General features: G+C 53.0%; 3 protein-coding genes, 1 long non-coding RNA gene and 1 pseudogene across 7 annotated transcripts in view, besides 13 other annotated features; 2 read left to right on the forward strand and 3 right to left on the reverse strand.

The window, feature by feature from the left end:
* WBP2NL (WBP2 N-terminal like) overlaps positions 1-1,427 on the forward strand; it is a 59,584-nt gene extending 58,157 nt beyond the window's left edge. For both annotated transcript variants that reach the window (XM_047441173.1, XM_047441175.1), the window contains exon 9: positions 1,346-1,427. The gene's annotated coding sequence lies outside the window, so the exon portion shown is untranslated. The remainder of the gene's footprint in view (positions 1-1,345) is intronic.
* NAGA (alpha-N-acetylgalactosaminidase) lies at positions 1,390-13,898 on the reverse strand. Of its 3 annotated transcripts, none has more exons than NM_001362850.1 (10): positions 13,819-13,898; positions 13,338-13,422; positions 11,495-11,630; positions 10,821-10,992; positions 10,169-10,346; positions 9,766-9,860; positions 8,794-8,955; positions 5,883-6,080; positions 3,980-4,123; positions 1,390-3,469 (listed from the first exon to the last, which is right to left on the reverse strand). In NM_001362850.1, exons 2-10 carry the CDS (start codon positions 13,351-13,353, stop codon positions 3,335-3,337), a joined length of 1,236 nt encoding a protein of 411 aa, NP_001349779.1. In that variant the 5' UTR covers positions 13,354-13,422; positions 13,819-13,898; the 3' UTR covers positions 1,390-3,334. The 3 variants fall into 3 exon arrangements, with proteins under 3 accessions (NP_001349779.1, NP_001349777.1, NP_000253.1); NM_001362848.1 differs by having other exon boundaries at positions 13,338-13,429; NM_000262.3 differs by having other exon boundaries at positions 13,338-13,868.
* Positions 6,272-8,786, reverse strand: LOC107985551 (uncharacterized). Its single transcript, XR_001755557.2, has 2 exons — positions 8,689-8,786; positions 6,272-6,435 (listed from the first exon to the last, which is right to left on the reverse strand). It is a non-coding gene; the product is annotated as an uncharacterized LOC107985551 (long non-coding RNA).
* Positions 9,163-10,032: an enhancer, noted in NCBI's record as "H3K27ac-H3K4me1 hESC enhancer chr22:42462111-42462980 (GRCh37/hg19 assembly coordinates)". NCBI's record gives its function as "activates a minimal SCP1, AML or CMV promoter by ChIP-STARR-seq in primed H9 embryonic stem cells {active_cell/tissue: H9 hESC(primed)}" and the evidence as "EXISTENCE:reporter gene assay evidence [ECO:0000049][PMID:30033119]".
* Positions 9,163-11,773: a biological region, named in NCBI's record as "CDK7 strongly-dependent group 2 enhancer GRCh37_chr22:42462918-42464117".
* Positions 9,970-11,169: an enhancer, noted in NCBI's record as "CDK7 strongly-dependent group 2 enhancer chr22:42462918-42464117 (GRCh37/hg19 assembly coordinates)". NCBI's record gives its function as "activates an origin of replication core promoter dependent on BRD2, BRD4, P300/CBP, MED14 and CDK7 cofactors, with strong dependence on CDK7, by STARR-seq in HCT116 cells {active_cell/tissue: HCT116}" and the evidence as "EXISTENCE:reporter gene assay evidence [ECO:0000049][PMID:35650434]".
* Positions 10,033-10,903: an enhancer, noted in NCBI's record as "H3K4me1 hESC enhancer chr22:42462981-42463851 (GRCh37/hg19 assembly coordinates)". NCBI's record gives its function as "activates a minimal SCP1, AML or CMV promoter by ChIP-STARR-seq in primed H9 embryonic stem cells {active_cell/tissue: H9 hESC(primed)}" and the evidence as "EXISTENCE:reporter gene assay evidence [ECO:0000049][PMID:30033119]".
* Positions 10,904-11,773: an enhancer, noted in NCBI's record as "H3K4me1 hESC enhancer chr22:42463852-42464721 (GRCh37/hg19 assembly coordinates)". NCBI's record gives its function as "activates a minimal SCP1, AML or CMV promoter by ChIP-STARR-seq in primed H9 embryonic stem cells {active_cell/tissue: H9 hESC(primed)}" and the evidence as "EXISTENCE:reporter gene assay evidence [ECO:0000049][PMID:30033119]".
* Positions 13,649-13,948: a silencer, noted in NCBI's record as "silent region_13818". NCBI's record gives its function as "represses an Ori minimal core promoter by ATAC-STARR-seq in GM12878 lymphoblastoid cells {active_cell/tissue: GM12878}" and the evidence as "EXISTENCE:reporter gene assay evidence [ECO:0000049][PMID:35858748]".
* Positions 14,129-14,178: an enhancer, noted in NCBI's record as "active region_19153". NCBI's record gives its function as "activates an Ori minimal core promoter by ATAC-STARR-seq in GM12878 lymphoblastoid cells {active_cell/tissue: GM12878}" and the evidence as "EXISTENCE:reporter gene assay evidence [ECO:0000049][PMID:35858748]".
* Positions 16,624-17,356: an enhancer, noted in NCBI's record as "H3K27ac-H3K4me1 hESC enhancer chr22:42469572-42470304 (GRCh37/hg19 assembly coordinates)". NCBI's record gives its function as "activates a minimal SCP1, AML or CMV promoter by ChIP-STARR-seq in naive H9 embryonic stem cells {active_cell/tissue: H9 hESC(naive)}" and the evidence as "EXISTENCE:reporter gene assay evidence [ECO:0000049][PMID:30033119]".
* On the forward strand, positions 17,304-22,494 carry PHETA2 (PH domain containing endocytic trafficking adaptor 2). Its single transcript, NM_001002034.3, has 3 exons — positions 17,304-17,397; positions 18,627-18,708; positions 20,336-22,494. The coding sequence occupies exon 3, from the start codon at positions 20,350-20,352 to the stop codon at positions 21,127-21,129; it is 780 nt and encodes a 259-aa protein (NP_001002034.2). The 5' UTR covers positions 17,304-17,397; positions 18,627-18,708; positions 20,336-20,349; the 3' UTR covers positions 21,130-22,494.
* Positions 17,357-18,087: an enhancer, noted in NCBI's record as "H3K27ac-H3K4me1 hESC enhancer chr22:42470305-42471035 (GRCh37/hg19 assembly coordinates)". NCBI's record gives its function as "activates a minimal SCP1, AML or CMV promoter by ChIP-STARR-seq in naive H9 embryonic stem cells {active_cell/tissue: H9 hESC(naive)}" and the evidence as "EXISTENCE:reporter gene assay evidence [ECO:0000049][PMID:30033119]".
* Positions 17,442-17,821: a silencer, noted in NCBI's record as "silent region_13819". NCBI's record gives its function as "represses an Ori minimal core promoter by ATAC-STARR-seq in GM12878 lymphoblastoid cells {active_cell/tissue: GM12878}" and the evidence as "EXISTENCE:reporter gene assay evidence [ECO:0000049][PMID:35858748]".
* Positions 18,061-18,355: a silencer, noted in NCBI's record as "tiled region #6008; K562 Repressive non-DNase unmatched - State 23:Low". NCBI's record gives its function as "represses a minimal TATA promoter and a strong SV40 promoter by Sharpr-MPRA in K562 cells {active_cell/tissue: K562}" and the evidence as "EXISTENCE:reporter gene assay evidence [ECO:0000049][PMID:27701403]".
* On the reverse strand, positions 19,115-19,217 carry SNORD13P1 (small nucleolar RNA, C/D box 13 pseudogene 1; annotated as a pseudogene).
* Positions 20,698-21,260: an enhancer, noted in NCBI's record as "H3K27ac-H3K4me1 hESC enhancer chr22:42473646-42474208 (GRCh37/hg19 assembly coordinates)". NCBI's record gives its function as "activates a minimal SCP1, AML or CMV promoter by ChIP-STARR-seq in naive H9 embryonic stem cells {active_cell/tissue: H9 hESC(naive)}" and the evidence as "EXISTENCE:reporter gene assay evidence [ECO:0000049][PMID:30033119]".
* Positions 22,181-22,475: a silencer, noted in NCBI's record as "tiled region #7943; K562 Repressive non-DNase unmatched - State 2:TssF". NCBI's record gives its function as "represses a minimal TATA promoter and a strong SV40 promoter by Sharpr-MPRA in K562 cells {active_cell/tissue: K562}" and the evidence as "EXISTENCE:reporter gene assay evidence [ECO:0000049][PMID:27701403]".

Here is a 22,499-nt window from a genome sequence, read left to right on the forward strand (position 1 = left end):
TCCCTTGTGTGATGAGTTGCTTTTATCTTGCCTCTTTCAAAATTCTGTCTTTTGAGGGTTTGATTATGATATGTCTAGGTATGGAGCTCTTTGAGTTTAACCTACTTGGAGTTCACTGAGCTTCTTGGATAGGTAGATTAATATTTTCCATCAAATGTGAGACATTTTCAACCATTCTTTCTTCCAATATTCTGCCCCTTTCTCTTTTTTTATGTGTATATGGGTACATTTGGTGGTATCCCAAAGGTTTTAGAAGTTTTGCTCATTGTTCTTCATTCTTGTTTCTTTCTTTTTCTCAGAGAGGTTAATTTCAACAGATCTGTCTTCAAGTTTGCTGATTCTTTTTCTGTCAAATCTACTATTATTAAACCTCTTCAGTGAATTCTCATTTCAACTATTGTACTTTCCAACTTCAGAATTTGTGCTTTCTTCCCCACTACAGTTTTATCTCTTCTTTGTTATTCTGTTTGGGCATCATTCTTATTCTTTCCTTTATTTCTTTAGACCCGGCTTCCTTTGGCTCTTTGAACATGTTTAAAATAGCTGATTTAAAATCTGGTAATAAGGTAAAATACCACATAGCTTGCTGTTTCTACTAGAATTCAACTTTTTTTTTTTTCAGTTGAAGTTTTCTGGGTTGCCGCAAGCTTTTGGCTAATTTCCAGAGTTCTGTGAAAGTTGATTTTGATAGTATGTGGCAGGTTTTTCAATGCTTTTATGAAGGGAGCAAACTTTCAGTAGTTCGTACTGGACTATTTTACTGGATCTTGATTTAGACAAACTATAGAGATTTTTGAGACAACTGGCAAAAACTGAACATAGATTGGTTATTAGATTATTTTAAAATTATGTTTTTTTAGATAGGAAAATTGTATTAAGGTCATATATATATATATATATATACACATATATGTGTGTGTGTATGTATATATATATATATATATATATATATATATATTTTTTTTTTTTTTTTTTTTTTTTTTTTTTTTTGAGATGGAGTCTGGCTCTGTCACCCAGGCTGGAGTATGGTGGTGCCATCTCGGCTCACTGCAACCTCCGCCTCCCAGGATCACGCTGTTCTCCTGCCTCAGCCTCCCGAGTGGCTGGGACTACAGGCGCCCACCACCATGCCCGGCTAATTTTTTGTATTTTTAATAGAGATGGGGTTTCACCGTGTTAGCCAGGATGGTCTCAATCTCCTGACCTTGTGATCCGCCTACCTCAGCCTCCCAAAGTGCTGGGATTACAGGCATGAGTCACCGCGCCCGGCTCATATATGTATTTTTAAAGCCCTTATCTGTTAGAGACATAGTGGTTTTTAGGGTTTTCTGAAATTTCCTTTCAGATACTCTAGCTCACACATCAGAAGAGCATGTGCAGGAAGAGAGATGAAATAATGGTACACGTTGATGGTTACTGGAGCTGGATGCTGGGTACATGGAGGTTCACTCTACCATTTTATTTTTGTATTTGAAAGTTTTCATGATAAAAAGTTTTTAAAAAGAGAAAGGGTACCTTGCGTCCAAACAAGTCTGTATTTAACTGAAAAAAAAAAATAATTGCATTCCTAACTGGCCTTGAATAGAAGGGAATAAATGTCCTGGGAGATAGATGGCATGTTTGTTGAAAGAATGAAGGGTGAAGAGATAGGATCAATCAGGCACCCCCAGGACAAAAGGAAAACTTATACAGCAAGTAAAGACATGTAGCTATCTTGGGCTGAAAGGTAAGGGAATTAATTGGTCAAGTCCAGGCTCAACTCTGGCCCCCAACTCCCAAGTCCATGGTCTCAACTCATTTCCCACAAAGCCTTCCTGGAGCTAGCAAGAGAAGGTGTTCCCACCTGAGACTATTCCATTTTGCCTGAACAGCACTATGAACAAGACCCAAAGGCAGAGCTATGCACGGAGGGGCAGGCCTGGGATGAGGTAGGCTTCTGTCCTAAGTTTCTCAACAGCCTCAAGACATCAACTGGGGAAAGGAACTTTCTCTGGTGACCCTATACTTAACCAGTAAAGCTTCAATCATCTTAAATGATGTAACAAAATGTGCATATGTAAGTTTTTACACCATACCCTAAATACAAGGACCTCAGAACCCTGAGGAGTATGGGAGATCCACCCAGAAAATACTCCTTGGGCAGCACAGTGCAAGGCCTGGGGCACTGGGTGCTCCTGCATTCAAAGCCCAAGGAGGACCTAGCTAGGTTGCTCTGCCACTAGCTCTCTCCAAAGGGGAGAGCCACCAGGGAAGACAAGTGCCCTGTAGCCTTGGCTAAAAGAGGAGGGCTTGGGAAATACGGACCAAAGCAAGACAGGCAAGAACCCATCATTCCTTCACTTTGACTGTTACCCCTGTCCTTAGGAAGAGGGACAGGAAATCAATTTTAAGACACAACTCCTGGACAGGTTTGTGGACACATCTGGGGAATATGAACCTCCTTTGCAGCCAGGTTGGGAGAGAAATAAAGGAAAAGAAGTAGGGGTTGGGGTGGAGCCACCAGAGAGAAGAGCAGGCTGAGGTGCTGGGCCAGGGGCACTGCTGGGCAGAGCACAAGCTGCAGGACCTGGGAGCATTGCTACTTGGCCTCATTGTGTTGTCACCATCACCACTGCCAGCATACCAGGCACAGCAGGGGCAGCTCCTGGGTGTGAGGCAAGTCTGGCATCTCTAGGAAGTACAATCTTCTGGTCACTTTGGAAAAGGAGGGGCCAGACGATGCCAGACATCATCCATAGAGGTGAGATTTGAATCCAGCACCCCGTGTAGTGCCACCAGAGTCCCTAACTAAAGGTACCCCAGGTCCATATTACAACTACTTGATTAAAGAACAGGTTTATTGGTGACCTGAGGGAGCCAAGGTCTCCTTTGTGACCCTCACTCCCAGGTGGTATCAGGCTGCAAGGCCCTCTATGGGTAGAAAAGCCAATCACATGATCCATGGGCATTCCTGGCAAGAGGTCAGATCTCTCTACTCCTAATTCGAAAACTTCCAAATCCTGATTTCAGAGTCAACAGCAAGGTCAGAGGCTAGAGTCCTGATGGGCATGGAGCTCAGGAGGCTGGCGAGTTGCTCAGCAACGTCTGTGGGGCTGCGCACATGGAAGTAGAGGCCAGGAAGGCCACAGGAAAATTGCCCCAAAAGAAGTTTCCAAGAGGGTTTACGCTTGGACAGGGCATAGAACCTGGCCGTGAGATTGCACTTTGGGTATGATGGGGTCAGTCACCGAGCAGGCCTGGGGAGCAGAGAACCTCCCCACTTGCCCTGGGCATGCCAAGGCTCCATGGTCTAGGCTCAGTGGTGCCACCACAGCCTGTCACATGTCCCAGCTCCTCACTGCTGGGACATCTCCAGGTTCTTGATGGGATACAGGTACCACATCACTACCCCTGAAGGGTTGATGATCACTGTGAAGTTGGTTTCATCTCGGAGGCCACTGATGATGTCACCTGAGTAGACGTCCTGGGCCTGCAGTGGGGAGGGACATCACCAATGCCACCATGAGAGTGGCGGCACAGAGACCCCCCCCGCTAGAGGATGTAGAAGCCTTCTGCCTGGACTTTGGCCTGTCTGTGCTGGGCTTCCAGTATGCCCTACAGAAGTGGGAGCCCTGAATCCCCATCACTTCTCCACCAGCAAATCCAGCAGGTGCCCAAGCACGGGCAGTGGAGAAAGCCCCAGCCCATGGAAAACTGTGAGGAACGTGCCAGCAAGGGCTGACCCTTGGGAGGAGTACAGCCGTAGAGGCTAATGGGATTCATATTTATATGCAGTAGTTCTGTTTGCATAGGTTGAAAATACTGGTGCAGAGCACGGCACTGGCTGCAGCTCTCAGTGCCTGCAGCTCCCCATGGGCACCTGCCAGAGGCCCTAAGCCCACGGCTCAGGGGAGGCCATATGTGAACAACCACCCCCCATAATACCCTCCCACAGAAATCTGAAGCCCAGGCGGGTGGCTGCAGGCAGCCGGGTGCTCACCTCATATATCACAGACCCGGTGAAGTTCAGCTGGCCAAGGGAGGAGTGGTAGCGATAAGGCATATCGGTCCTGCAGCTGAAGAAGACTAAGGCGCTAGCCTTGTTGGACAGAGGCCGCATGTACACTTCGATGAGAGATTTTTCCTGGGCACAGAAGGTGGCTACTGGCTGGGGTCCCTTGCTCAGACAGGACCTACCATTGCCTCCCTGGCCCTCCCTGAGTTCTGGGTCCCCCAGTTCACAGCTCCATGTCACACAGGTTTAGGGAGGATGCCACGGGCCTCCAGCACCCCAGCTTATCTAACCCTATCTGCCCACCTTCCCTGACTCAGCAGATACTCATCAACACCTACTCTGAGCCCGGCCCCTATGCTAGCACACTGAGACAAGTGCTGCATGAGGCCCTGCCCCAGAAGCTCATAGGACAACGGGAGGGATAAACGCAGAAACAGGGAAGCGCAACAACAGTACAGCGTATGAGTGCTGGCCCCAAACAGCTGCCAGTGCTGGCCTGGAGGGTGCTGTCCAGTGGGAACAGTGAACTCTGTTCCAGGAGGGTGGAGAGTGGAGCTGGATGTGAACTCCCATCCTCCAGAAGGTTTTCCAGGCCCAGCTCCACCATCAGCCCCTCTGGCAGGGAATTGTTACTTCCTCTGGGCATCACCAGTTCTATAGGTGCCTTCCATAGTTCTGTAGGTTTCTTTTTACCAGAATCCAGGATTTGGTAAAGAGCAAAGGCAGACAGGCACAGTGGCTCATGCCTGTAATCCCATTACTTTGTGAGGCCGAGGCCAGTGGATCAGCTGACGTCAGGAGTTTTGAGAGTAGCCTGGCCAACATGGTGAAACCCTGTCTCTACTGAAAAAAATACAAAAAAAATTAGCCGGGTGTGGTGGCGCACACCTGTAATCCCAGCTACCTGGGAGGCTGAGGCAGGAAAATCGCTTGAACCTGGGAGCCAGAGGTTGCAGTGAGCTGAGATGGTGCCACTGCACTCCAGCCTGGGCTACAGAGTGAGACTCCATCTCAAAAAAAAAAAAAAAAAAAAGGCTTTGAGGTGACACTGAAGTCCAGTCTTGTTTGTACCAACTGTGTAGCCTTGGGATAAAGTTACTCAGACTCTCGAAGTTTCATTTTTCTCATTTGTAAAATGGCAAGATAACTACCTTGCTGAGAAAAATTATCTAAAACTCCCAGCACATGGTAGGTACTCAATAAATAGCAGCCACCAGTAGTCGTAGTATTCCTTGGCTATAACAGCTTCTCCTGGCCGAGTGCGGTGGCTCATGCCTGTAATCCCAGCACTTTGGGAGGCTGATACGGGTGGATCACCTGAGGCCAGGAGTTCGAGACAAGCCTGGCCAACATGGTGTCTCTACTAAAAATACAAAAATTAGCTGGGTGTGGTGGCAGGCGCCTGTAGTGCCAGCTACTCAGGAGGCTGAGGCACGAGAATTGCTTGAACCTGGCAGGTAGAGATTGCAGTGAGTCGAAATTGTGCCACTGCACTCCAGCCTGGGTGACAGAGTGAGACCCTGTCTCAAAAACAAACAGACCAGCTCCTCCTGCTCTGGAGGGAAGTCCAAGCTCTCTGCAGGCCATCACGGGTGTATAGAAGCTCTGTGCCTCACCCTTGCTATGTGCACTTATGTGGCTGACACCTCTCATCCCCGACTCCCTTGAGCTGTCCTGCTCAGCCCTGCTCTCACCCAGCAAGAGGAGGACAGTTGGAGCAGCTCCCATCAGAGTCCTCAACCATAAGCAACCAGAAGGGGTAGCCCTGGTTGGGGACTGGGCGACTCCTGTACCTCGCCAGGTGTTGCCCCCAGGGAGGCTGGCAGCCTTTCTCTCAGGAGAACCCAGTTCCTCAGCCCTCCCCTTCCTTCCCTCCACACCCTAGTACCTTGTGAATCCTGCGTCCCTGGATGCCTAAGGGATCCTGGTTGATTTTGATCATGAGTGGATTCTGCAGAATGTCCATGTTCTGGGCGGAGATGGTACGCAGGTCTGTGGACATCAAGAGGGGGGCTGCCAGCACCGTCCACAGGGCCATCTGGGCCCGGGATTGCTCTAAGCTGAGACCAAAGTTCCCAATGAGCAGCTGGGGGCAGAGAAGAGGAGTAGTCAGCTCTCATCTCCTCAAGGAGGTAGACACAGGGACCATCCCCAAACTTGTAGCCGAGGAAGAGCAATTAGGGATTAGGGAAAGATGGCTGTATGTGGAGGAGGCCTGGTTCAGCAAACACCATTCCCTAGCCCTGTGGCCTTGGGGGAGTTAAGTCACCTTCCATCTGAGCTTCAGCTTTTTATTTTCCATCAAGAACAGGAGTCGGCGGTAGGGGGGTGGGCAGATGGCCAGGTGCGGCGGCTCATGCTTGTAAATGCCAGCACTTTGGGAGGCTGAGGTAAGGAAGGAGACCACTACTACTCCTGCTGCCCTCCTCTCCCAACCTTGCCTAGTTCACAAGACAGGAGGAGAGAAAAAGCAAAAAGTTGGAAATAAACAAAAGTAAGATAAATAGCCAGACAACCATGGCACCACCACCTGGCCCTAGGAGTTAAAAAAAAAAGTAATAATAATAACATCAACCCCTGACCTAAACTACTTGTGTTATCTGCAAATTCCAGATACTGTATGAAAAAAGCATTGTAAAACTTTTTGTTCTGTTAGCTGATGCATGTAGCCTCCAGTCACGTTTCCCACGCTTGCGTGATGTATCACGACCCTTTCACATGGACCCCTTAAAGTTGTAAGCCTTTAAAAAGGCCAAGAATTTCTTTTTCAGGGAGCTCGGCTCTTAAGACACGAGTCTGCCGACACTCCCAGCCGAATAAAAACCTCTTCCTTCTTTAATCTGGTGTCTGAGGAGTTTTATCTGCGGCTGGTCCTGCTACAGAGGCAGGTGAATCACTTGAGCCCAGGAGTTAGAGACCATCCTGGCCAACATAGCAAAACCTCATTTCTACTGAAAATATAAAAATTACCCAGGCGTGGTGGTAAACACCTGTAATTCCAGCTACTTGTTCAAGCACGAGAATAACTTGAACCAGAATGTGGAGGTTGCAGTGAGCCGAGATTGCACCACTGCACTCCAGCCTGGGCAACAGAGTGAGACTCTGACTCAAAAAACAAAAGGCCAGGCGCGGTGGCTCACGCCTGTAATCCCAGCACTTTGGGAGGCTGAGGAGGGCAGATCACCTGAGGTCAGGAGTTCGAAACCAGCCTGACCAACACGGAGAAACCCCATCTCTACCAAAAATACAAAATTAGCCAGGCGTGGTGGCGCATGCCTGTAATCCCAGCTACTTGGGAGGCTGAGACAGGAGAATCGCTTGAACCTGGGAGGCGGAGGTTGCGGTGAGCCAAGATCATGCCATTGCACTCCAGCCTGGGCAACAAGAGCAAAACTCAGTCTCTAAATAAATAAATAAATAGGCTGGGCGTGGTGGCTCACACCTGTAATCCCAGCACTTTGGGAGGCTGAGGCGGGCAGATCATGAGGTCAGGAGTTTGAGACCAGTCTGGCCAACATGGTGAAACCCCATCTCTACTAAAAAAAAAAAAAAAAAAATTAGCTGGGTGTCATAGCAGGCGCCTGTAATCCCAGCTACTCGGGCGGTTGAGGCAGGAGAATCGCTTGAACCTGGGAGGTGGAGGTTGCAGTAAGCCGAGATCGCGCCATTGCACTCCAGCCTGGGCGACAGAGCAAGACTCTGTCTCAAAAAATAAATAAATCAATAAAAAACAAAAACCCCATGGGGGTGATGGGGGTGGTAATATGCCCTGGCTACATCACAGGTTGTTCAGATGATCAAATGGGCTCCTGTTGTCAAAAAGCTTATAAACTAGGTCAAGTCAATAAATGTCCCAAGGTGACAGTGGTAAGAAACAGAACGGGACAAAGTCCCTGTACCTACCACTGGCCACACCCACTTGCCCTAGCCACAGCTGAATGGACCAAGGGGGACTCCTGACCCCAGGGCAAGCAATCCATAGTCAGGACACAATTACAGGCTTAGTGACAACAATTTAAGCACTGTGTGCCCATCACTGTGCCAAGCATTTCAGAGTTATTTTAACCCTCAACCCTATAAGGTAGCTACTATTCTTATTTTCCAATTGACAAAACTGAGGCACAGAACAAATTAAGTTACTTGCCCGAGGTAAAGTGGCAGAGCTAGAGCTGGGACTCCACAGCAGGCCAGTTCCTGCTCCTCCAGGTTGCTCCCTCCACCTGGCTTAGCACTTGTAATTCTTATAATCATCATAGGATCAATCAGGTAGTAAATGCTTGTTGACTAACAGATAACTATAAAGCTATAAATTGCAACAACAACAAAATGTCACAGGGCAATGACCGAGATAGAATGGAAGGGCTAGAAGCAGGACTGTGAGGGCCAGTTGTCCCTGTGGAGGATGAGGCAGGAAATTGACAAAAGGATCAGAGGCACACGGGGGAGAGCAGTCCAGGCACTAGGAATAGCAAGGTCGTGATCTTCAACCTGCAGAGCAATAACATCTTATTCCAGGGTCACTACAGACCCAAGTTCTTGAGCTTTCAGAAACATCAGAATTGCCTGGGGAGATGGTTAACAGTGTTCTTCCCCTGAACATTGTGATGCAAAACGTGGGGGATGGGGCCCTGGAAACCAGCTTCTAAGTCAAGTCTAAAGCAACCAGTTCAGGGACACATTTCAGAAGCGCTGACCTAGAACCCGGCAGTGAGCCTCCAAGAAGGAAGAAAGCACAGGGCAGTGGGGAGCAGGGTCGTCACAGATGGTGGGCCTAGGGACATCCCCCTCCATCCTGGTACCATGTCAGGGTCATTCCAGTGCCCAGGGCCGGCCACTGGCTGCAGTATGTCCTGGTGCTCCACGAACCAATTCAGGATGGAGAGCACGCTCCACCAGGAGTCCTGGATGTCATCATAGTTACGCCAGAGGTTGCAGATGTCCGCCAGCAGACTGTAGTTCACCTGGATGTCGAGGGGAAGGCAGAGTCCAGCACCAGAATCACACGCTGCAGCCCAGGGACCCACACAGGAGTTGAGGAGGCTCAGCAGGAGAGACAGAGAGTGGGGAAGAGGGAAGAGAACAGGCCCCACCGGCTTGCTCAGGATGAGGAGGGCCTCAGAGGGTGGCCCTGCTCTGGGGCTACCGGGGTCTCCCTTCTGTGCATGCTGGTGCCAGGAGCCTACCCTGCCTTCTCATGCCAGCTTGGGTCAAACCCAGGGTGTGGGCCCAGGCTGGTGCACCCACAAACAACCCTCCCTGACACCCACCCACCCCCATGTTCTCTCAGTGAGAAACTGCTGTCTGCTTTCTTCTCAGCTCCAGAGGCCTGAGCCCACCCTTTTTGGTGTCAAACATGCTAAGGGAGCCCTCATGAGCCCACAGGCTCCTCTGAGGCTTGGCCCCACCTGCCTGGCCTCCCCAGCCTTCTGGGTCTCCTCGCCTAATGGGCACCTCCTGGAATCCTGGGCACTGTGTGCCAGCACAGATGGCTCTCCTGCCTCTGATGCCAACTCCTTCAGCCCACTTCACAAGGGCCTCTTCTCTAAGGCCCGCCACTCCCTCCAACACACACACCTCTCTGGGCTGGCTGAGCCCACCTGCTCTTTGCGGCTACTTAATGTAGGTCTCTAGACACCTACAAATCACCATATGGGCACCTGTGGTGAGAGCAGCCCTGGCTCTGGAAGGCCCCGTCCCTGAAGCCTGGCACTCAGGAGGTAAGGAGGCCTGGGTGTGGGAAGCGCCATCAGGCAGGGGGCAGAATGGCTTACCCTTGGGGGGAGGCCGCCTTCATAGGCTGGCCAGCTGCAGGAGAAGGCGATGGGGCGGCCTGTGGCATTCAGGGCAGCAGCCATCTTGGGGTACCCTAGAGAAAGCCCAACCTGTTTCAGTCCTGAGGAAGTGCAGGAGGCAGTCTGGGGCCTTAGCCCAGACCTTTTCCCAACAGATGTGAAGAAACAAGCTCCAAACAGTAGGTGCCTCCCCACATACCCAGAGCCTCAAATGCTTCCAGGGTGGGCTATGCTGCCACTCATATTTAGGGAGCCTGGGAGCCACAATCCCCCTAACCCCTGGGTAGGGGGAATTGGGAAGCTCAGCCAGGTGGGCGCTGGGTGGGTCTCCATGGCCACCCTCCCCGTTTGCCTACGTGCCCCAGCCAGCTGCGTAACTCACCCTGGGCCCGCTCCTCGGGGGTGGAGAAGCAGCCATCCAGCTTGAGCATGTCTACCTTCCACTCGGCGAAGGTCTGAGCATCCTGGACCACCTTGTCCAGTGTGGTGCCTGGGTAACCCATGCAGGTGAAGTTGCCCATGTCCGCGTAGATACCCAACTTCAGGCCCAGGGAGTGAACCTGTGGGGGTTTGAGGACACAGTGGGCTCAAGCAGGACCCTCAAGGAGCCTCCTCAAGGCATATCTGACCCCGTCCCATTAAACCTCCAGTGGCTCCCACGGACCAAAGGAGATGGTCCCAGCATGCTGGCCCGGCCTCTGCCCATGATGGCCCACCTCTCCCCCAACACACACCTCCCAGCGGCTGTTTCTTGCCCCTAGGCCTTTGCTCCTGCCATCCTCTCTGCCTCCAATGCCATCTCTCTGGGCTCAGCTCAAGAAATGCCTCCTCCAGGGAACCTTCCTAGAATACCAGGCTGTGTGAGATGCCCTTTCTGGCTCTCACTCAACAGAATAGGCCAAAAGTCGGTGTTCATTTGTCTGTTTCCCCCACTAGACTGTGAGATCTCAATCATGTAAGTGAGCCCTAAGCGAGGTAGGGTGAAAGGAGTGGTCTAGCCCTGAGGCCAAGGGCAGGGCTGGGGTGCGGCTCACGTAGTCAGCCAGGAAAGGAATGCCATGAGGGAAGCGCTTGGGATCCGGCATCAGGCGGCCACTGGCATCGCGACCACCGATCCAGCAGTCATCAATGTTGAGGTATGTGTAGCCCATGTCCCGCCATCCATCCTGTGCCATCCGGTCAGCCATCTCCATGAAGAGCTGTTCACTAGTGAGGGGCAGAGGGATGGGGTAGCTCAGGGACCCAGCCCGGCCCTCACCCACACCCTGCCTCAGCTCTGATTGAATCTGGGCTATAAAAACCATGACCTTGCTGAGCCCTAAGCCAGGTATCAGTGTAAATGACCACCAGAGATTGTGCGATGAGCCATAAGCAAGCTGGCTTGAAAGGAGTGGCTGGCCCCAGGCTAAAAGGCAGGACTGGGTCAGGGGAAGTACAGGGGGCCTGGCCTGACCTTCTAAGAGTTATCTCAGGGGCTGGGTCCATGTAAGGTCCCTGCCTCGTGACCAGGTTGGGGCCTGAGAGTCCCTGCAGAGGCTCCAGACAGGTCATGGGGCTAGGTGTCAGACAGTCCGAGTGACTTCTGGCTGCAGTCTCTGGGATGGAGAACTCTGACCTTGCCCTCTTTTCTAGTGGACTCTCCACTTCCTGCCCCCGAATCTGCAGGGCCCTGGGCAAGGCTCATCAGGTGAGTGTGGACCTTACTCACCTTATGCAGTTCTTTGGGTCCTCATCACAGTTAATGTTGCAGCGGAAGCGTTCCCAGGCCAGCCAGCCCATGGGTGGTGTCTGCAGGAGCCCATTGTCCAGCATCAGCACCTGGGCCACATGTCCCAGCAAGAGCACTAGGGGGCAAGGGAGGAGGGGATGGTGACTATCAGTTGCCCCCACAGCTCCAGCCCTCATCCCACCCCATCTGTATGTTGCTCAGCCCTACAGAGGCTGCCTGCCTATATATAAGGGAAACTGGACTCCTGGGTTTAGGGTAGAATTGGCTCTTCCTGCAATGGCTGGCTCTTGCAAAGCAGTAAGTGGGAGGATGGTGCCTGGGCCAGGCAGTGGCTTGAGGTCTGGCCGTCACCACAGCATTGCTGGAATTAGCAAAACTAACACCTTATGTCCTAACCTTCCTATAACCCCCATCAGCTCCTCCCATCCCATATATAGAACTTAACAGTACAGATGCTCCTAGGCCTACCACGGAACTACGTTCTCATAAGCCCAGTGTAAGTTGAAAATATCACATCAGCCAGATGCAGTGGCTCATGCCTGTAATCCCAACGCTCTGGAAGGCCGAGGCGAGTGGATCACTTGAGGTCAGGCCAACATGGTGAAACCTTGTCTCTACTAAAAATTCAAAAACTTAGCCAGGCGTGGTGGCATGCGCTGTACTCGGGAGGCTGAGGCAAGAGGATCACTTGAACCCCAGAGGCGGAGGCTGCAGTGAGCTGAGATCGTGCCACTGAACTCTAGCCTGGGCTGTGACAGTGCGAGACCCCATCCCAAAATAATAAAAAAGAAAATATTATGTCAAAAATGTACTTAATACACCTAACCTGGCAAACATCATAGCTGAGCCTAGCCTACCTTAAAAATGTGGACAGGCCAGGCACGGTGGCTCACTCCTGTAATTCCAGCACTTTGGGAGGCCGAGGTGGGCGGATCACCGTAAGTCAGGGGTTCAAGACCAGCTTGGGCAATATGGTGAAACCCTGTCTCTACTAAAACTACAAAAAAATACCGGGGTGAGGTGGTGAGTGCCTGTAATCCCAGCTACTTAGGAGGCTGAGCAGGAGACTTGCTTGAACCTGGGAGATGGAGGTTGCAGTGAGCCGAGATCGCGCCACTCTACTCCACTCCAGCCTGGGTGACAGAGTGAGACTCCGTCTCAAAAAAAAAAAAAAAAAAAAAGTGCGACAACGCACATTAGCCTACAGCTGGCCAAAATCATCTAACACAAAGCCTATTTTATAATAAATTGTTGAATATTTCATGCAATTTACTGAATACTGAAACACAGGTTGTATACGTACTGTGGTTTCTACTGAATGTGCGTCGCTTTCACACCACAGTAAAGTTGAAAAATCGTTAAGTCGGGACCATTGGCCAGACTCCAGGTCTCCTGAGCCCCAGTCCAGAGCTCTTTGCTCTCTACCACAGACCCTCAAGAGGCCTCAGAGAGGCTTAAGAAGTAAGCCAGCCAGGATGGGCACCCAATCAGCTCACCTAAGTGAGACCTTTCCCCCTCGGGCCTCAGTTTCCTTATCTGTAATATGGAGTTACTGTAGGGACTGTACAGGCGGTTCTCCGCACATGCTGATATCCATCAGTTAGGGCCTCTGTGCTTGAGGGAGAGGAAGTGAGAAAGGAAGGGCCCCTTTGAAGGAGAAATGATTCCCGTATGGGGAAGCATCTCCTCCCTTCCTGCCCAGCTCTAAGTAAAAGAGAGAGGAACCTGTCTCTCCACATACCCACATTAGGGAAGAAGGGCCAAAGCACTCCTTGTAGCACTCACCCCTACCCTTCCAAGCCACCCCAGCCGGTGTAGGTACCTGTCTTCAGCAGCATCGCTCTGGACTCAGCTTCCGAGGACCTGACCAGATCTGGTCTGCGTGTATCAGCTGTATGTGTTGGGCTCTGGAAGCTAAGAAACGTCTGAAAAGCACTGGGGTCACGGCTGCCTGGCTAGCTCGGCCGCCCTCAACCTTAGGCGTGGATCGTACACTCGGTCCCCAAGTTGCCCGCCCCATCCCCAGCCATCACTTCCCGGAGCTTCAGTTCTTCCTTCAGAAATACGAAACAACGTGTCTTGGATGTCAGACCTCACACCCTCTGCAGTGCTGGGAGTCCCGAGGGCCTACGGGCCGCCTTCGGCCCCGCCCGGGCTCAGAAAAAGGCAGCCACTGGCTTAAGGTCACCAAGAAAGAGCGGAGGGGCGGGGCTGCGGCCAGGCTCCGGACTTCCAGCCGGGTCCGGGTTCCCGCCCTGGGCTCCCCAAAACCGCAGAGCCCCCTCCCACCGCACTTATCCTACCGAAGCGTTCAGACCTGCCGCCGCTTCTGACTCGAATCCGGTAACCTGATAAGTCCGAAGCGTTCCAGTGAGGGCGGGGCCTCACGAAGGCAACCCTTCGCGCAACCTATCAGAATCCCCCCTAGCAACGCTGTGCCCCGCCCATATGGGTCCGGCCTCCCAGCCTCCCTAAGCCCTTCCCCACTGGGCTCCCGCCCTGCGTGCTAGCGAGGCAGGCATTGGCAGAACGGACTCGGGGCTGTCCTTCGTGGCCCGGACCCCGCGAGGCCTGTCCTTCCACCTCTGTGGGGACCAAGAGGGCAAGGATCGTGCCAGGCTCACCGTGGGCGCTCAGTAAGCGGCCGTGCAGAGGACGGTTGAGGGCTTTGTGCAGAGGAAATGAGAGACTGCTCTGAAGCAAGGCCCGCCTAGTGAGCTGCTAGGAAAATGGAAGTCTGGGATTAATCGTCTCTACAAGGAGGGTGCGTGGGAGGCACCAAAGCAGGCGGTCACAGCTCCCGCAAAGGCAGCCGGCTCTCCTTCCCCGCCTGACGCTCAGGGACTACTCGCACAGACTGGGCTACTTCCTTCTTCATTCATTCATCAAGTATTTATTGAGAAACTGCTAAGTGCCAAATGCTTTGTTCTGGGCATTGTAGGGGCAGAAAGGTGTGATATTTTCCCTTACTCATCCCAAAGGTCACAGCGGACACTCCTACAAATAAAATATAGGTTAGCAAGAGAAAAGCATAATAGATTGATTTACTCAATGTTTTATGTGACTTGAGAGCCTTCAGGAATGAAGACACAAATACTCAGGGAAATCTTTATTTTTATGTCTCGGTTTGATGAAGAATGGACAGCCCTGGCCGGGTCTGGTGGCTCATGCCTGTAATCCCAGCACTTTGGAAGGCTGAGGCAGGGGGATCGCTTGAGGCCAGACATTTAAGGACAGTCTGGGCAACATAGTGAGACCCTGTCTCTACAAAAAATTAAAAAGCCAGGCAGGTGCCTGTGGTCCCAGCTACTCGGGAGGCTGAGGTGGGAGGATTGCTTGAGTCCAGGAGGTCGAGGTTGCAGTGAGCTGTGATTGTGTCACTGTACTCCAGCCCGGGCAACAGAAAAAAAAAAAAAGGAATAAGGAATGGACAACTGTGTATAAACGCGATTAGACAAAAGGGAATGATTTAATGTTAATAGCTGAGTGTGGAAACCCAGCAATGTCTGTTCAGATTCGGATTCTTCTTGTTCTCTCTGTGTGGCATTCCCTCCTGCTGGGAGGAGGGCAGGACCCCTTCTGGAATGAGAGTCTTATGACCTAGTATCAGGCAAGGTAGATCAGAGAATTCCTTTATGGCCAGGCCCGACACAGAAAGGTGGGGGATGTTTCCAGTAATATTTGTAGTTACTTTTTTTTCTTTTTTTTTTTCTTTTGAGACAGAGTCTCCCTCTGTCACCAGGCTGGAGTGCAGTGGCGCGATCTCTGCTCACTGCAACCTCCGCCGCCCAGGTTCAAGCGATTCTCCTGCCTCAGCCTCCCAAGTAGTTGGGACTACAGGCGCACGCCACCATGCCCAGCTAATTTTTGTATTTTTAGTAGAGATGGGGTTTCACCATGTTGGCCAGGATGGTCTTGATCTCTTGACCTCGTGATCCGCCCACCTCAGCCTCCCAAAGTGCTGGGATTACAGGCATGAGCCACTGTGCCCAGCCAATATTTGTAGTTGCTATAACTCACCTTAGGGAGGAGGATTTTTAGTTTCTATGGCCTGCCTTGCAGGAGAAAAACAGGAGAAAGAAGGGGGGCAGGAGAAGGTCAGAGAGATACTTTGCTTCTGAGGCTCTTCCAGTGTCCTTTGGTTCAAAGTACTCAGCATGCCCAAGTGCCATATTTTTAGGCATCGCTTTCTGAGCCCCAACAGCACCTTCACTCAGATGGCCACTGGGTGTCTCAAACATAACCCAGACCAAGCACCGGCCACTTTCCACATCTCAGATAATGACAACTCTCCTAGGTGCTCAAGCCAAAACTGTGCAGTCCTGCCTGCTCTTTCCCTCACTCCCCACATCCAACTCCTCAGCAAATCCTGTGTTCTCTACCTTCAACAGCCATTCTAATTCTGGCTGCCTCTCCCTCCCCGCTCTTGCCGCGTTTGTGACATCTCGCCTGGATAGTGGCAGCAGGCTCCTCACTGGTCTCCAGCCTCCACTGACATTGATTCTCACCACAGAAGCCAGAGTATGCCTTGAAATCGCTCAGGTCCCTCCTCACAGCCCTGTCTAGAGTAACAGCCCTCCCAGATTTACAGAGCCCCATCCCACCCCTTCTACCCCCACCTCCTACTGTCTGCCCCTCCCCAGGCCTCCCAGCCTCACTGGCCTTCTTGCAGGTCCTCAAGCACAACAGGCCTGAGGGCCACTGCGCTGACTGTTCCCTCTGCCTGGAATTGGCATGGCTGGCTCCCTCATTTCCTTCAAGTATTTGTCCAATGTTACTTTCTCAGTGAGGCCTACCCTGACCACTCTATTTGCAATTGCAACCTCCCTACTCCCACAATTTCCCATCTCCCTTACCCTCCTCTGTTTTTCCATGCCACTTATTATCTTCTAACACATTTATTATGGTGTACAGTATTAACTGAATAAAATTTAGTAGGGGAGACAGGCAATAAACAAGAAAATAAAAGCATGAGCATAGGAAAGTTTACTCTAGCAGTGAGTGCTCTGATGGAAATAACACCCCAGGGATGGGACAGAGACTGCAGGGCAGGTTGCTTTACAATGGTCCCAGAGGAGACCACTGAGCAGAGACTCAAATCTGTGTCCAGAGGCGTCCTGAGGAGTGGAGCTGCGGTTGGGGGTGGGAAGGAAGGCCATTCTAGGCTGCAGGAACTGCAAGGGCAAAGGCTCTGAGGCGGGAGCCAGGTTCATGGGCAGATGTTTGAGGACACCTCCGGCTTCCAGGGCCTTCCAGAAGTTCCAGTCTCTTGGGTTTGGTTGTGCATTCCTGCGACCTTCACCGCAGGCCTCCTCCTCCACCCACTAGTGCAGAGCCTGGGGGCTGCCGGTGGGTTTCAGGCCAGGGAAGCAGAAATGGGTAATTTCCAGAGGCAGAAATCAGCCGACCCCGGTGGCCCGGTGGGTGGCCAACAAAGCTTGGCTGGCCCTCGCGGGCTGTGTAGGAGCCCACCCTAGGGAGGTACCCAGAGACATCCCTGGTTTGGCTCTGCCGGGAAAGTGGGCCGAGCAGGGAGAGGGGGACCAGAGAGGAAGAGATGGACAGAGTTTTCCGGACGGTGGGCTGGGTCCGAGGCCCGCGGACCGTCCGAGGGGGGCCTCTGGGTTCGAGGCCGCCCGCACCGACCAGTGCTGTGGCTCGGGCAGTTCACCGCCCTCTCGGGCCTCAGTTTCCCGCCCTGGCAGACCTCGAGGCGGCCTCGGAGATCCCGGGCCTGGCGAATACTGGGCGGGGAGGGGCGTTAACTCCAGCCTCCCGGGCGGGGTCTCCCGGCTCCCGCGGCCACGTTGCAGCCCAGGCGGAGGCGCGGGATCTCGAGCTGGGATCGCCCTCTTGGGCTTCGGTGCGATCGGCGGCGGGAGGTGAGAGTGGGCCCGGCGGGCTCCGGGAGGAGGTGGCCCCAGGGAAGGTGTGGCCGCGGGGAAGTGGCGGCGAACAGCCCCGACGCGAGGACGGGGAAACCAAGGCGGCAGCCAGGGAGACCCTGACCGAGGTGACCTCTGTTTAGGGCGACAACCGGGTTGGGGCTCCCCGCAGTGGCCACTGGCCCGGCGGTCCCGCACCCCCAGCCCGCCTCTCCTCCAACAAAAGAATCCAGGAAGACGGTGGGGCGGGCGGGAGGCCCGGTGTGCGGTGGCCTGGCCCCCCTACTGGTGGAGAGGAGGGAGCGCCCTTCCCCAGACGCGGGGGAGGGGAGGGGTCATGGCCCCACGGGCTGCCCACCCCCTCCCTGTGCCCCAGTGCTGGGCCCAGGACCCCCAGTGAGGCCACTCCTCTGGCAAACATCTGTGATCTCTTCCCCCTTCCTGGGCCCCCCCTACTGGAATGGCGTCTCTCCCCATCCAGGGGCCTGGCTTGTTTTTCTCCATAACCCTTAGCATTACCGGTCCTTATGTTATCTCTTATTTCACTAATTATTCTTTCATTAATTTATTAGTATTTATTTTGTTTGCCTACAGTGTGTTTCCCCCTGTGGGAATGTAGGCTCCAGGAGGGCGGGAGACTTCGATTTGTCCACTGATGTATCCCCATTAATTCAACAGATCCCTCCTGAGGGCCTCTCTGAGCCCTGCACGGTGCTGGGTATTGGGGTTCTCCTGGGAACTTAGCTGAGCCCCACCCTAGACATTCTGGGGCTGGGAACAGTGCTGTAAACACATATGACATCGTCGTGGGATGAAGGAAACAAACCAGAAATGGGGGGGTCTACTGGTCAGGTGACCTTAGGTCAGGCCACCTTGGTGGTCAGGGCCACCTTAGATGATATGGTGATCATGGAAGGCCTCCCAGATTAGGTGACTTCAGTTAAAGCCAGGAAGTGCTAGAAGGGAAAAGCTAGGAACCATGAGGGCATGTGTAGCTCTGACCTGGACTCAGGCAGGGAGCTGGGGTCTGAAGAGTAAAGGTCAAGACAAGGGGACCCATCCCCTTAAGCTGCTCAGGGGTTCCTGGCTGGGTGGATGGGTGGGGGGATTCTCAGGGGTCAGGGAAGGCTTCCCGGTGGAGGCTGTGGTTTCATTAGGCCTCGAAGGTGGAGTAGGAGTTCTCATTCTTTGGGATAAGCTGACTGGGCTTGAGAATTGTTTTGCAGGTTCCCTGGGAACCAGGTGGTCGAAGGGCTGAGCTGTGTGGCCAGACAAGAGGTCCCTGCCCTCCCCCAGTGAGCCCTGCTGGTAAGTGGGTACAGTGTGAGGGATTTGGGAGACGAAGCTCTGCGTCTCATTGGCCATGTAACCTTGGGCAAGTTCCCCTCACTGCGCTGGGCCTTGGTTTTCCATGAGTAAGGACAGCTGGACTAAGTGCCGTTCATGATGCTGGGGGCACCCACATTCAATGGCTGTGGTTAGCTCTTCTCAGCTGTACCCTGGGTTTGTGCCACACTCTTGTGTACAGAGTAGCTCCCCATCTGGCCCTGAAGGCTGCAGATTGAGACAGAAAAATAATGTTTTATCTGAGGAATTGGAGCCCCTTTAAATAATCAGGCCCAGACATACTGAAACGCAACAGCTGTCAAGTCTTACTCCTCCCTTGAGCTAAAGAATTATCTCTTTTTCTTTTTTTTTCTTTTCTTTTCTTCATGTCAGATCGGTAATGTGCCTACATGGTAACAAGGTTCGAGGGTGGCACAGCTCACACATGCATGTGAACACCCAATCATCACGCTCATGAACTACAAAAGGATCAAGAATTACCTCTTGAAGCCACTTGCTATGTGGCTCTAGAGTGACACCAAGTAGCCATAAAATGCTGTACACTGGACACCCTATAGTTCATACCCTATAGTTCAACAATGTATAGCCAATCACTAATCAATGTTATTTCTTTTTTTTTTTTTGAGATGGAGTTTCTCTCTTGTCACCCAGGTGGAGTGCAATGGCACAATCTTGGCTCACTGCAACCTCTGCCTCCTGGGATCAAGCAATTCTCCTGCCTCAGCCTCCCGAGTAGCTGGGATTACAGGCACCCACCACCGTGCCTGGCTAATTTTTGTATTTAGAGACGGGGTTTCACCATGTTGGCCAGGCTGGTCTCCAACTCCTGAGCTCAGGTGATCCACCCACCTCGGCCTCCCAAAGTGCTGGGATTACAGATGTGAGCCACCGCACCCCACCAATCAATGTTATTTCTATAAACCAAGGAGAATTCCTGCCAAACAACTTTGTCATCCTTGCCCCCTTCTGCCTATAAAAACCTGTAGGAAAGGCCCAACGCAGCACACCCCACGGCAACTTAGAAGTTTGTTCTGGGCAGTTATCCTTACTCTCGCTCAAGTAAACTCTTTAAAGTTATATTTGTGCCTCAGCTTCTGCCTGTAGGTCAATAAGATTCAACAGCTATATGCAAATAAGAGGCCAGTAGAGGCCCAGGAGGGTCATGGAAACCCTGGAAGCTTGGCCTCAGAGTTGGAGTTGAGAGGACCCCAGATGAGGGGATAGTTTAAGCACAGTGGTTTCGATGGGTCTGGGGTCCATTTCAGCTCAGCTGGGGCCTGTTTCTTTGGATTTTAGAAAGCCGTGCCCAGGTCCTGCCATGCCTCCTGTCTGATGCAATCTCGTTATTCTTTTCTCGAAGTCCGCCAGTGTCCAGTTTTTTTTGCATGATCCTCACGACATCCCTTTGAGAGAAAAGGAAGGAAAGACGAGCCCACTTCTCAGGAGACTTTAGGGACCTTAGGGACACAGCAAGCGAGTAGGAGTCCCAGGGCTGGGGTCCAGGTTGCCTCTGGAGCCGGTGCTGTTCCCCAGGAGGGCACGGAACCACCTCCCTCTCTGATCTGCTGCCATCTCTCTTGCCTCACAGTTCCCGTGGGAGCCATGAAGCTGAACGAGAGGAGTGTAGCCCACTATGCACTCAGCGACTCCCCAGCGGACCACATGGGCTTCCTGCGCACCTGGGGGGGCCCAGGGACCCCACCGACCCCCAGTGGCACTGGCCGAAGATGCTGGTTTGTCCTCAAGGGCAACCTGCTATTCTCCTTTGAGAGTCGCGAGGGCCGGGCCCCACTGAGCCTGGTGGTGCTGGAAGGCTGCACAGTGGAACTGGCCGAGGCTCCCGTGCCCGAGGAGTTTGCCTTTGCCATCTGCTTTGATGCCCCTGGAGTGCGCCCACACCTGCTGGCCGCAGAAGGGCCGGCGGCCCAGGAGGCCTGGGTGAAGGTGCTGTCCCGGGCAAGCTTTGGCTACATGCGCCTGGTGGTACGCGAGTTGGAGAGCCAGTTGCAGGACGCACGCCAGAGCCTGGCTTTGCAACGCCGCTCATCCTGGAAGTCTGTTGCCAGCCGCTGTAAGCCCCAGGCTCCTAACCACCGAGCTGCGGGCCTGGAGAATGGCCACTGCCTCTCCAAGGACAGCAGCCCTGTGGGCTTGGTTGAAGAAGCGGGCAGCAGGTCTGCAGGGTGGGGGTTGGCTGAGTGGGAGCTGCAGGGCCCTGCCAGCCTCCTCCTAGGCAAGGGGCAGAGCCCTGTGTCCCCTGAGACCTCCTGCTTCTCTACCCTGCATGACTGGTATGGCCAGGAGATCGTGGAGCTGCGGCAGTGTTGGCAGAAGAGGGCCCAGGGGAGCCACTCAAAATGTGAGGAACAGGATAGGCCCTAAGTCTGGGCCCTTTGAGTCAGGAAACCAGGGCCAGTTCTTTTTCAGGAGTTAAATGTTTACCCATTTCCAAGGTTGCGTTTTGGGAGGGGACATGGGTTCTCTCCTTCCTGCTATTTAGGCATTCTCCAGGTTCGAGATCCACCCGTGTGTCTGGAAGGGACTGCGGGACCATTCCTTCCATCCTCTTTATTTCCTGAGGTCCAGAGAAGGAAGGAGACTTAGCAGCCACAGAGCAAGACCCCAATCTCCTGACTGCACTGGCCTGACTGCCCCCTCCCAGGGGATGTTAATGAAATGAAGGAAGTGGGGAATGTCACCCGAGACTGTCACAGGCTTGCCATACCTTTGGCCTACACACCGGGCTCTAGAGCCATAATTTCCAACCTGGGGAGTCTCCTGTGCACTTAAATCCGAGGTAGGCTGCAGTATCGGCTTGAAGCTCTGACACTGTCAGAGAAAGTGGATTTATTGTGTCATAGGAGTTTCTGGGACCCAGCTCTTCCTGAGAGGGGTGGGAAGATTGGGGATGGGATCCTCACTCAGCAGTCTGGGTAGGGCCCTTTGAGGCAGAGGGTCTTCGGCCAGTGAAGAGAGATTTATTCTGCTCAGAGTGCTGGGGTCCCATCCTTTCTCCCTGGCTGCCCTGTTAACAGATGGTGCTGGACCTTGCCCCGGAAGGGGCTTGTAGCTTTTTTACGTCAACGAAATGCCCTCCTGTACTCTGTCTTCAGCAGCCAACTCCTGGAGCTGCCAAGTGAGGGGTTAAAGAAGAGGTGGGGAGGCAGTGTGGCTCCCTGGGAAAAGTCTGTTGCTTTGGTTCTCAGTCCTGGGTATTCTAGGAGCTTGGACACGGGATTGCGTTTCCTGTGCTAAAATTCTCTCTCCTGGCTGGGCTCCGGTAAACTGAAGCTGCTCGAGAAATCACCTGGGAACTCTCATAGCCGTTTGTCACCCAGGGTGTACTTGCCAGGACCTCTCCTTGCTACTCTTCCCAAAGTCGGGAGGCAAAGCGGCTGGGTCACCAGAGCCTGACCATACTGACGCTCCAGGGGGAAGACGCAGAGGCCGGGAAGAGACACCCCCTCCCAAACACATAAAACTTGCCCCTTCCTAGCCTCGGCTCCCCTCACTGGGGCCTTGGGCAGGACCGACCCGCATCCAACTAGGCCTAAGGGGTAGGCTCTGAGCCTCTTACCCCTAAGAGGCGGAGATGCGCCCAAGGCGGGCGCCCGGCCTGTTCCCCAGCCCTGCCTGGAAGCCCCGCAGCCACTGCATTTTGTTTAAACACAGATAGCACGGGCCTTTCTCTTATTGCTACAGTGTTTTGTACACGGTTAAAACACTAGTAAAGCTTTTTCGTTATTACTCCT

The sequence above is a fragment of the Homo sapiens genome, chromosome 22, assembly GCF_000001405.40.
Source record: "Homo sapiens chromosome 22, GRCh38.p14 Primary Assembly".
Lineage (NCBI taxonomy): Eukaryota > Metazoa > Chordata > Mammalia > Primates > Hominidae > Homo > Homo sapiens.